At 35.0% G+C, this 13,312-nt stretch overlaps 2 long non-coding RNA genes across 2 annotated transcripts in view; one reads left to right on the top strand and one right to left on the bottom strand.

The window, feature by feature from the left end:
- The window catches only part of LOC101927967 (uncharacterized), a 547,036-nt gene that overhangs the window by 150,067 nt on the left and 383,657 nt on the right, over window positions 1-13,312 (top strand). The window lies entirely within an intron of this gene.
- LOC101927948 (uncharacterized) overlaps window positions 12,859-13,312 on the bottom strand; it is a 39,077-nt gene continuing 38,623 nt past the window's right edge. Inside the window, exon 6 of the long non-coding RNA NR_110287.1 lies at window positions 12,859-13,166. This is a non-coding gene — a long non-coding RNA (uncharacterized LOC101927948). The remainder of the gene's footprint in view (window positions 13,167-13,312) is intronic.

The following is a 13,312-nucleotide window of genomic DNA, read 5'->3' as shown; positions in this document are numbered from 1 at the left end:
TGTCATAATTTTTTGAATTTTATTTTCAATTTTTAGGTAGAAATTTTTGTTAAAATGTTTTTCTAATTTTAATAATGGAATTTATCTAATTTTTGTAATGGAATTACAGCTTTTTTATTTAAAATACCTTTCATCATAAAATTATCTGATAAATGTAATGCATTTTAAACATTTTTTTTTGCTATATATTTCTAAAGTTATATCATCCTCAGTATATGGAGCCTATACAATATATGCTGTTGAATTTTATTGAATGTTTGAGGCTAATATAATAGTTGTATTGCTGTTTTTGAATTGCTTGGGTGTCACAAAGTAAGATATTTTTAGAGAATATATTTCAAAATCTCTTCACATAGTCTACATATATTCATACACACATATTTAAAAATATAAAAGAAAAAGATGCCTAAACCTTAAGTATACAGCTAAAACTTATCAAGAAAAAATTACCAGAAATACCATCCAGGTCCAAAAATAAGAATAGACAGAAGTCCTCCCTATACTCCTTCTAGATCACTTCATTCTTTCTTCCTCATGAAGGTTAAAAATTGCCTGGGCCTGCAACACATCAATTTGCTATATATTTTTTAAAATTTATATCGTTAGAGTCTAATAGTGTTGTCTCTAGCCTCTTTCACTCAAAATTATATCATTGTGAGATTTGACTATATGTTATCTGTATCCGTAGTTCATTTACAATGTAGTACTTTATACGCTAGGATACATTGCTGCTTTATAAATAAGTGTATCACAGAAGTAAGTGTAGCTCATTAAAAATTATGTAGAGCCTTCCATTAATCAAGTATCATCTGAATCATCTATTCGAGTAGTTTTATTCCACACTTCCCTCACTTCTAGAAAGTTTTATAATCTTCATGAGTTTTGGATTTCCAGAATTCAATAGCGTAACATTGGTGGTAGATAAGAAGGAATAAACAAGAAATATATATGTGTGTTTGCAAGTGTATGTGTGTGTGTGTATGTGTGTGTGTGGAGGGGTGTTTGTATTGGATGATGACTCTTTTGTAATTATAACCAGTCAAAATTATTTCATTAGTAATGCATTCAACTCTTTAAATGTAATTCTTTGAAGTGGTCTTCAATTAGTTTATCTCCTATAACCTACAATTTAGGTCACAAAATGTGAGGGGGCACTAGTTCACAGAAATTTTAAAAATGTAAACAATGAGGTAGCTCTCTCATGTAAGCAGAGAAAATCTTTGTTTTATTTAATAGGTGGAACCAAAAGTTTTGCTGATAATAAGAGTAATCTTTGTAGAATTATCCACTCATTTGGAGTGCCATAAAGAAGCTGTTGTCAATAAAAAAACTGTGATTATTACAATGTTTTGTTCAATTTCTGTGGTAATTGGTTATTATCATTATTTACTACTTTATTTTATGGTTATTGCTTGCAATTTTAGACTTTAAATATGAAAAGCATTAAGAGTGCTAATTTAATTATAGTATTGGATTCTTGAAAACTATACAGTGTTAAGATTATTAATAAGTATATTTCAAATGGATAGTCTAATTCCAATTTGCATTTTTGCCTGGTTTCTTGTTCATCATAATTTTGAACAAATTGATATGTTTGTAGTCTTAAAAATTGTCATGCAGAAGTGAATGTCATTCTCATGGGGCTGGTTTTAGGAGCTAAATTTCGTCATTTTGTAGTTAAATAAGGAAACAGAATACTGTGATGGAGAGAATTCTTAATAAGTGTCTTAGTGCATTTTCACACTGCTATAAAGAACTGCCCAAGACAGGGAAATTTATAAAGAAAAAAGTTTTAATTGACTCACAGTTCTGCATATCTGGGCCTTAGGAAACGTAAAATCATGGGGAAGCAAGTACTTTCTTCACAAAACGGCAAGAAAAAGAGAGAGAAGGGGGAAGTGCCAGACACTTATCACCAGATCTCATGAGAACTATCTTGAGAACAGAATGGGGGAAACTGCCCCCATGATCCAATCACCTCCTACCAGGTCTGTCCCTAAAACATAGGGATTATAATTTGAGATGAAATTTGGGTGTGGACAAGGAGCCAAACAATATTATTCCTCCTCTGGCCCCTACCAAATCTCAAGCCCTTTTCACACTTCAAAGCCAATCATACCTTCCCAACAGTACCTCAGAGTCTTAACTTATTCCATCATTAACCCAAAAGTTCAGGTCCAAAGTCTCATCTGAGACAAGATAAGTTTCTCCCACTTACGAGCCAGTAAAATCAAAAGCAAGTTAGTTAACTTCCAGGATACAGTGGGGGTACAGCACTGTGCAAACTGTGTAAATGTTTCCTTTCCAAATGGGAGAAATCGCCCAAAACAAAGGGGCAACAAGCCCCATCCAAGCCTAAAACCCGGTTGGGCTTGAGTTCATGTTTCACATCCAAGGCATGCTGATAAAAGGGGTGGGCTCCTATGGCCGTGGCCAGTTCTCAGGGACTTTCATTGAGTGCCTGTGGCTTTTCCAGGCACATGGTGCAAGCTGTCAGTGGATCAGCATTCTGGGTTCTGGAAAACAATGACCTTCTTCTCACAGCTCCACTAGGCAGTGCTCCAGTGGGAACTCTGTGTGGGGGTTCCAACCCCACATTCCTCCTTTGCACTGCTCTAGCAGAGGTTCTCCATGTGGTCTCTGCCCCTGAAGCAGACTTTTGCCTGGACATCCAGGCGTTTCCGTGCATCCTCTGAAATCTAGGTGGAGGTTCCCAAAGCTCAACTCTTGTGCACCTGCAGGCCCAACACCTACAAGGAAACCATCAAGGCTTGGGGCTGGCAACCTGTGAAGCAATGGCCTGAGTTGTACCTTGGCCCCTTTTAACCATGGCTGGAGCTGAAGCAGATGGGATGCAGGGTACCAATCCTGAGGAGCACAGAGCAGCAGGGACCTGTCCCTGGCCCACAAAACCATTTTTAACTTCTAGGCTTCTAGGCTTGTGATGGGAGGGGCTGCCACAAAGATCTCTGACATGATCTGGAGACATTTTTCCCATTGTCTTGGTGATTAACATTGACTCCTTATTACTTAGGCAAATTTCCACAGCTGGCTTGAATTTCTCCCCAGAAAATGGGTTTTTCTTTTCCACTTGGGCATGCTGCAAATTTTCCAAACTTTTATGCTCTGTCATCTCTTTAGAACACTTTGCTGATTAGAAATTTCTTCCACCAGATATCCTAAATCATTTCTCTCGAGTTCAAAGTTCCACAGATCTCTAAGTCAGGGGCAAAATGCCACCAGTCTCTTTGCTAAACAATAGCAAGAGTAACCTTTGCTACAGTTCCCAGTAAGTTTCTCATCTCCATTTGAGACTACCTCAGCCTGGACTCCATGGTCCATATCACTATTATCATTTTGGTCAAAACCATTCAACAAGTCTCTGGGAAGTTCCAAACTTTCCTACATCTTCCTGTCTTCTTATGAACCCTCTAAACCGTTCCAGTCTCTGCCCATTAACCAGTTCCAAAGTCGCTTCCACATTTTCAGGTTATTTTTATAGCAGTACCCCACTCTACAGGTACCAATTTCCTGTATTAGTCCATTTTCACACTGCTATAAAGAACTACCCAAGACTGGGTAAATTATAAATAAAAGAGGTTTAACTGACTCACAGTTCTGCATGGCTGGGGAGGCCACAGAAAACTCACAATCATGGTGGAAGGTGAAGGAGAAGCAAGTACCTCCTTCACAAGGCAGCAGGAAAAAGGGGGAGAAAAAGGGGGGAAGCACCGGACACTTATCAAACAACCAGATCTCATGACAACTCACTCACTGTCATGAGAACACCATGGGGGAAAGTGCCTCCATGGTCCAATCACCTTCCACCAGGTCCCTCCCTGGACACCTGGACACAGTTCAAGAGATTACAGTTTGAGGTGAGATTTGTGTGGGAACAAAGAGCCAAATCATATCAATAAGTTATATATCCATTATTTAAAGGCTTCTTCTTAGAGAAACATGAAAACTATTCAAATATCATATAATCTGAAAGAGTATAAAAAGGGATGACATTTATGCATCCTTCCATTTGTTTCCTCTTTGATAAGACATGATAAAACATAGAGTTTCTGTCAAATGTGTGATAGAATGGTATATAATTTATCTCAAACTTTGCTTAATCTACTCAACTTTATACTTTCAACCACATGTACTGTTTATCAAAGCATCAGTGATTTGCATTTTTAAGACTTTAATAGATTTCATAAGTGAGAAAAAAATCCCATTTGAGCAACTAGAAATTAGCAGGAAAAAAGTACAAAAATTGATGTGATTAAGGGTATTTTGAAGGTCTTCTTTCATACCTTAGTGAGAGTCAGTACATTAAGAAAGAGTTAGGGTATAAATAATGTGGCAACATCCTCTTGCAACAACATCCTTAGATTGATCAGAGGTAAAAGGCATTCCTGTGTAGAGTAGGAAGGGCAATACCCACCATGTACACACATGTAAACATACAAACATATGTACACACACATGCAGAATATAATGATTCAGTGGAGTTTTCAGATTCACAGAAAACAAGATAGAGATATTTCAATAGAGACAGAAATGTAACTGAATGTCTTCATTCAGATTCCCTAGGAAAAACTGAAAAAGGAATTTGCAGACTAGAAGGGTATTGAGCAGTGTTGTCAGGAATAACATCTGTTAGAGAGCAAGGGAAGCAGAACTTAGAAAAAAAAAAAGAACTAATCACCTTCAGCTGGTTCCATCAGGCGCTCTGAAACTGGCAAAACCCTTCAGAATCATTGCCCAGTGAGGCATCAAGGAATCTTAGAAGCACTATGTAGACTAGTCACTGGAGGTGGGCTGCTGCTGATGAATCCGTAAACTTGGGCAAAGCAGTTCTTTAAGGGCAAAGGCAATTCTCAGGAAGAGACTCCACTCTGACCTATCAGTTGCCAAGACTCCTGAAGAATGAATGACTGAGTTCTAAAAAGAGGAGCTGGGTGGCACATTATATCAACAACTTCAATGTATGGTTTCTGAGGATGATATATATCTCCCAAAGTTCTCAGAGGTGACATAAGCAAGATGGAAAACTAGGAAGCTCCAGACCTTATCTCCCCCCAGAAGACATCAAGTTAACAGCATTATCCAGACTAAAATACCTCTGAGAGACCAGCTGAGAGCTACAGTGGCCCGGCCAAATTAAAGCCAAGGAAAGATCCCAGCAAAAGGAAAATTCAATCTTTTGTGCATCTATCTTTGCCCATCTTCTAAGTGGCATAGCACATGCATCCAGGAGGAAACCTCCTATACCAGGGCTTCTCCTTCAGGAGAGAAATGAAAGATTGGTAGTGCATATATAAACAGTTGGAAACCGTATATATGATAATGGGTTGACATCCAAAATATATATGAAATGCATACAATTCAGTAACAAAAGACCAAATAACCCAATTAAAAAATAGGTAAAGGACCTAAAGAGACATTTCTTAAAAAAAGACATGAAAATGGCCAATAAGGATATTAAAAATGTTCAAGATCATTAATAATTAGGGAAATGTAAGTTGAAAATGAGATATCACCTCACACATGTTAGAATGGCTATCATCAAGAAGACAAAAGATAAACAAGTGTTGGTGAGGATGTGGAGAAAAGGAAACCTTTGTACATAGTTAGTGGAAATGTAAGTTGGTACAGCCATTATGGAAAACAGAAAATAATTTAAAATAGGACTACCGTATGATCCAGCAATACCACTTCTAGGTAGATATTCAAGGGGAATATCTGCGCTCCCATATTTATTGTCACATTATCTGCAATGGCTGAGATATTAAAACAACCTCAATGTCCACTGACAGATGAATGGATACAGAAAATATATGTGTGTGTATGTATAATATATATACACATACACACACATATATATACACACAAACACAGAAATGCGCACATTCAGTGGAATTATATGCCACAATTGTATATTACATGCATACATATAGTGAAATATTATTCACCCTTTAAAAAAGAAAACTACCATTTGTGACAACATGGATAGTGCTAGCGGACATTATACTAAGTGAAATTATCCATATACAGAACGACAAATATTGCATGATCTCACTTATTTGCGGAATCTAAAATCACTAGTAGTGATAAATTTTAAAAACTCTTCAGGTAGAATTCAAGCATCAGCATATTTAAAGTTTCTTAAGCAAAATCATGTACGGCCAAGTTCAGAAAACCTGACCTAGTAAGGCATTAAACTAGTAAGTAGACCCAGTAAATGCCTCCAAAACTCAACTTCCTTTTGTATAAAATGAGCATAATAATACTTGCTCTGTTATTCCCAATATATGAGAAAGGAATTTCTAGACCTCAAGGAATAACCACCCCCACCCCAAAATCAAGCTTTAAAGTAAAATCTTGGTGGTAGAGTCTAGATGTTAGGTATCTGGATTTTCATAGTTAAATTCTCTCAACTCTACTGTATATTTGCAGATATTTTCAGTTAAAAATTAGGTTTTGCTGTGTTGCAACAAAAAAATGCTTCCCTAAAATTAGACATTGTTTTATAGCACTTAATAAAATTTAAAAATATTCTTAATCATTTGACAGAGTTGGTCCTAGTTATTTTCTTCACCTCCCCATTAGAGAATTGTATTTCATTGCCCTGGGAACATCAGGGTTGGCCTTGTGACTTCTGGACAATTAAACTTGAGCAAGAATGACATATGCCTGGCAGTTCTGAAGTTCTTGTTATCTCTTTTTCACCATGGCTGTTACTCGTCATGGGGCTATCTTTCCCCAGGGTAGATTTGCTTCTTCAACCTTGATCACTGAATGAAGAGAAGAACTTAAGGTGACCCATAAGGATATGTAAGAGGAACAAAAAAATAAAACACTGTTGTTAAAAGCAACTAAGTTGTAGGAGTCTTTTATTAATGCAACATTAAATAAATTCACCTGATGAAGAAGAAAATAAGCTAACATCCGAGGAAATTAGTTTGTATATGGAGTTTCAAAAACACCTAGTTTAAAAAAAAAATTATGGAATGAAGAACATGTAATTAACTATACAGTTGACTCACAAACAACAAGGATTTGAACTGCCTATATCCACTTATTTGCAGATGTTTTTTTCAATAAATATACTGGAAAATTTATCAGAAATTTGTTACAGTTTCAAAAAACTTGCAAATCATGTAGCCTAGAATATTAAAAAAAGAGGTATACCATAAATCAAAAAATATTTGTAGATATTAGTCTATTTTATCATTTATTACCATAAGATACACAAATTTATAAGAAGTTAAAATGTATCAAAACATGGACACAAACACTTGCAGTGTTTGTTGGTGCCATTTGCAGTAACGAAGTAACTGCAGTAGAGAAATAAATGTAAATAAGCAATATTAAATTCTAACTGCATAAATTAACTCTAGTACAAACTGCACTGCTGTAATAATTTTACAGCCACTTCCTGTTGCTATTGTGGGGATTTCAAATGTGAGAATCTATTTACAATGCCATGCTATGCTAAGCATTGTGTGACCAGTGGTGTCTTCAGTAAATTGCATATTGCAGTAAATGATCTTGCAGTTCTTGAGTATCTTTCCTTGTGTTTAGTTCAATGTTGCAAACTCTTGTAAACTTTGAATAGCATCATGGATCCCATACGAAGTGCCACTAGTGATGCTGGAAGTGCTCCCAGGAAGCAGAGAAAAACCATGATATTACAGGAGAAAACTGAATTGCTTGATACGTACAGAGGACTGAGGTCTGCAGCTGCAGTTGCCTGCCTTTTCAGGAAGAGGTTTATTTTGTAAACAGATGACATATACTTACAGTATCGATACATACAGTTCAGTACTGTAAGTATATTTTCACTTCCTTATAATTTTCTTAATAACCTTGTCTCTTACTTTATAGTAACAATACAGTATATAATACATATACAAAGTATGTGCTAATCAACTGTTTGTGTTATTGGTAAGGTTCAAGAGTAGGCTATTCATAGTTTATTTTTGTGGAGTTAAAAGATATATGTGGATTTTCAACTGTGAGGGGTGTTAGCACCTCTAACCTCCACATTGTTTAAGGGTCTACTGTGCTCTTAAGTTATGTCTGTAGCTTCCTGCATTTAACACTGTCCTTTGAGTCATACCTATTATTACAAGTGAAACCTACCATCTTTTTTTGAAAGATTTACAGTATTGCATTTTAAAGCTGTTTATACTTTCTTTAACCAGTTTTCTAGTTGAAACAAGGTTTTAATCTAAGTTTTATTAATATTAACAAGGCTGCAATGAAAATCTTTGTAAAATTTTAATACAGTTTACTAGGTAAACTTATTTTCGTCTGTTTTCAGGACTGTGCCTTTAAGTGTGCTCTGTGAGCTCATATCTTCTCCATACTATGTAAACGCTTGTGCAAGTCCTTCAGTTTCTCAGTCAGGCTCAATTAATAAAATGTTTTTCAATCATTTATGGTAAGATTGAATAATAATAAATGTCATATCAAAGTAATGAGTTTTCATTTGTTTATCCTCTCCAATTTGGGCCTGCCCCGACTGTGAAATCTGCAGTGAAGTAGATAATAAGATAAGCTTGTCTGTCTTTCTTGTTCTTATTTTTCCATTCCGTAACTGCGGTTTGGGGCCCTTGTAGGTCTGGAGTATCAAGTAATGGAGGAAAGAGAAAGCGTCAGAAATATCTCATTTGACAGGTAGAAATAACTTGCAAGAATTTCGGCTGGTAAGATTTTAATCTAATGCTGTTGGCTTCTGGATGTGACAGAATCCATTATTTATTCTTTCCCTCCTATTAGCATGTTTGAGTTCCTTAACTAGTCCTTCACCTCAAGTTGCTGAGGATCTTTCATCTACAGTATATTTGCCATGGGCAATGCAATCTTCAAATGGCAACTGAAAAATCTTCCTTCCCGTTTGAGTTCCAGCAGCACAGCCCTTTGTAAATGGCATCTCAGAATTCCAGAAGTAGTTATTATGGAGTCAATATCTTTTCCATGGGAAACTTGCATACTTCTGCAACTACAGCCTCAGTATACCTCTGTGCTTGTGCCATCCCATAGGCAGGGGCAGCTGCAATGCCAGCATCTTTCTTTTCAGATGAGAGTGAGACACTGAATGCTGAATATTTTTTAAACCGCAGGTTAAGCACATCAAGCAATCTCGGAAGTTTATTGAAGGCCCATCACTTGGCTTGAGAAAAGTGGCAATTCCTTTCTCTCTCACATGGGGAAAATGTGGAATAAAGCAGTGTATTGAAATATTCTTAAACTCTTTCTCAAGTTATCCTCATTAGTGGCTCCATGAATTACTCAATAAAATCATACAACTTTTCTTGGTTAGTGTGAAGTAGCTGGATTTAGGGCATGAGGATAATGACAAATTGGTACAGAAAATAGGAAAATACAAAAAACGAACACGCATGTATCTTATCGGTTCATAACTTTATAGTTACATGTAATCTGTGTTTCGGACGTATCACTAGACGTATTATTGTTTTGTCAAAGAAAATGTGCACTGTTAAAGTTATTGTCTTAATACTCCCCAAAGAGCCCTCATTCATTTCCATGACAACAAAGAGTTTGAAATGACTTGACCCAGATCCTTGTTTTACTCCATTTATGAAGAATGCTACATTTGTCCTTTGGATACATGAAAACACTATAGTAATTTTTTATTAATTCTTTTAAAAATTAATGAGGTTGCACATATTTTCATTTGTTAATATGTCTTTTTATAGATCTACTCTGAGTTTGTATAGAAAAATATGTACTGCTTCATCTATTTACAGGTCATTTTACAGATAATTTAATAATATTTTAAGTATAATTAAATTTCTCTGTATTTGTGTCAGATTGAATAATAAGGGGGTGTATTGGGCTTTTCTTGCATTTGCTATAAAGAAATACCTGAGACTGGGTAAAGAAAAGTGATTGCATTGGCTCACAGTTCTGTAGATTATGCGAGAATGGCACCAGCATCTGCTCAGCTTTGGGGTAAGTCTCAGGGAGCATTTACTCATGGTGGAAGGTGAAGTTGGAGCAGGCACATCAAGTGGCAGAGGCAGAGGAGAGAGAGAATGGGTGAGGAGGTGCACACACTTTTAAACAACCAGCTCTCATGAGAACTCACTGTCATGAAGCCGGCACTGAGTCACGAAGGATCGGCCCCCATGATCCAAACACCTCGCACCACGCGCCATCTCCAGCATTGGAGATTACAATTCAACATGAGATTTGGAGGGAACACATATTCAAACTAAATTATGGTATAAGTTGTTCAATGATAAAGAGATTAGAGTATTATATATTATTTAATCAATGACAATCATATTGATAATTAAATTGCATAAGCCAGAAATCTCAGCATCATCTTTGATTTATCCATCTTCAAACTAAGAATCTTTGCTACATGCTCACTTTTCTTTATTCCCAGGGCACATCACATGCTTTAGAATTTTGTACATATTTTGACTCAGAAATTCTACATCTAGAAAGTTATAAAACATGTGTTCAATTATCTATGTACAGAAAAACTTGTTGTATAAGTTCTATCGAGCAATTGAGAAATGTTTATGTAAATTAATTTACTTCTATAGTAAATTAAGTGATTTATAGTCTTGCCATAAAGCATTTATTTCAAATGCTCATTTTTTAAAAATAAAATAAAAGATATTTTAAATACAGTATTATATCATTTGCAAAAGCAATTTTTTCCATATATTTTTGAATATATATGCTATATATAATTATATATGTATCTACAGCCAATTCATAGAACATAGAATTTGCAAGCAACATATACAATGTATATAATTATGTATGCATTTATAGGCCCATCCAGGGGACTAGAACTAGATTTAGAAACACATATAATTTAGCTACAGTACTTGGTATATTCTTGCTTTAGGTAATGGGATTATTCATTTTTCTACTGTTTTTGTTCTTTACCCTCTATTGATCATGCAAGTTTCACATGAGAAAATAGTTATATGTGATTTTAATATATATGAACAAAATATTTATAACAATTTGAGTGAGACTAAATATAAAATTAGAATATTAATACAAGTAAATAATAATAATAATCAATTGTGATTTTAGAAAACAGAAATGATATATATACGGTTGTACAACTGCTAGAGATGAACCATGATTTGATTCTTCTTTACACATCAGAACACACAGTTAATAATAGAATTACTAAACTGGCAGGTCAGAAAAAACACAAGTTTTGCAGGAGGTGAAAGTTTAGTATCTTTTTCTCTTTTTGTCTATTTAGAGAGGACCCTGTAAGGTGTAGCAAGTGACATCTTTTCAGAATTGCTTCTTATGAACAGTGGCAGGTTTTATTATGTGGTCTGCTAATACACTCCACGGCCATAAAATAATAGTATGTATTTTAATATTTGAAAACATAAAAAACCTATGACCAATAAGATAAACTAGCACTAAAACAAAAATAATTTTTGAGGAAGTAGGATAGATGGAAAAGGAAATAATTTAAAATAGATGTCAAAGCTTGTGATTCTCCTATATAAAGTTAGATCTTGATTATATCTTTAAAAGGTTAACATTCCCTGTGGGAAGCTCCCTTTCTGGGTAAAAACATTCTATTTTAGAATTACCCATGGTGAAAACCTACATGTGCCCTAAAGAAAAACTATTTCTGAGATATTTAAGTAAGCTATTATTTGGAGAACTCTTCAAAATAGAACTTTTCTTGAAGGTGCACTGAATGTTCAGAAAAATTATTTTAACTGACTCTTTACAATTCTACCATGAAATAATACAGTCTATAAAAAAGATCCTGGAGCAAAATTTAGAAGTATGGAGGAGGGTGTGTATTGTTTAACCAGCTGCTATAAATTTAATGTGGTAACATTGTAACAAAGAATTTTATTGATTTTTTTTTCCAAGTTACTTATCTACACATTCATTGTGTGAGTTCCCAAATTTATTTTACTCTGAATTCCACTAAGAACATATTAATTAACTGATATTTAAAATGGAAGTAAAGAAATATGATTTAGTTTGAAAAAGATTTAACTGAGTACAAAAATTGTGCTGACATTTAAATGCTTTATTGTTGCTTGATTTTGAAAAATGTCACATAAGTTGAAATTTAATTTATTTTATCAACATTTGCAGCTTGACTCTTTGAAACAAAATTTCAGGTTGTGTTCTTCTCCATTGTGTGTTATGTTTATTAATCTAAATATATTATTCACTTGATCTGTACCAATACTATTAAAATCTGTGGGTTCTTATAACAGTTTGCTTAGTTTTTTAAATATAGAAAGACAGTCTGTCACCATACAGGGCACAGGATAGTGAACCTAGCAAATAGCCCTTAATTGGCACTCTCTTTTCTATTTTATGACAGGGAATTAAAAACATTAAGATGAATGTCATTTAAGGAATGTTACTTACAAAGATAGTACTTCATTTCTTAGCTTACTATTACCTTTCTATTTAAATCTGCAGGTGTTCAAATCTGAACCTGAAGACATTTTAATTACTAAAATATCACAACTCCCAGTTCCTCCCCTTCATGAAGTTCTGGGAGAGAATGGGTTTGTGGACACTAGTAATTTCTTTAGATGATGCTAATTCTTTGAGTTATATACTTATATTTTGTGCATTATTTTGCATTAATTCTAATATTAAAAAGAAAAAAATCTCAATACATTCTTTCTATCTTTCTATGCTAAAGCTGATGCTCTATGACCTGATTTCAGCATTTGATGCCTTATAACAGCCTTTATCTATATTTCATGATTTCTCGCCTATGCTTCATATATTGGATTTAAAAGGGCAATTAAATAACATCCCTTGTATCAGCTAGTTATTACTACAAAAATGCTACATGCCACCACGTGCCTGAAAAACCACAATAATTTATTCTCATGGATACAGTTCAGCTGGGAATGGTTGGTGTAGGGTGGGTTTGGCTGTGTGGCTCTAGTTTGCACCTGGGTTTGGTTTGGCTGGGATTAACTAGGGAAGGCCATTTTCCATGTGTTTGTGATAGCGTCCATGCTGAAAGAGCAGCAGCTGAGAAGGGGATCATAATTTGGCAAAATGCAAGCCTCCCGAGGCCTAGACTTGGGACTGGAACATTGCCAATTTCTCCTCTTTCATTAGCAAAAGAACATTCCTTTCTCCTGATTGTAATTCTAAGCCAACTGAAAGAAAGAGAAGAAACAGTCACTGAAATGCAAGCTTTAGTTATGGGCTAACTTAGTTCGATTATGTTTCACCCCTTTATTAGGCTAGCTTAACTCATATGTTTCTGGTATCCCTAAAAAACTGAAGACTCAACTCATTGTGA

This window comes from Homo sapiens, chromosome 2 (genome assembly GCF_000001405.40).
Source record: "Homo sapiens chromosome 2, GRCh38.p14 Primary Assembly".
Taxonomy (NCBI): domain Eukaryota; kingdom Metazoa; phylum Chordata; class Mammalia; order Primates; family Hominidae; genus Homo; species Homo sapiens.
The sequence above is the reverse complement of the archived record's forward strand: the minus strand, read 5'-3'. Positions and strand labels throughout refer to the sequence as shown.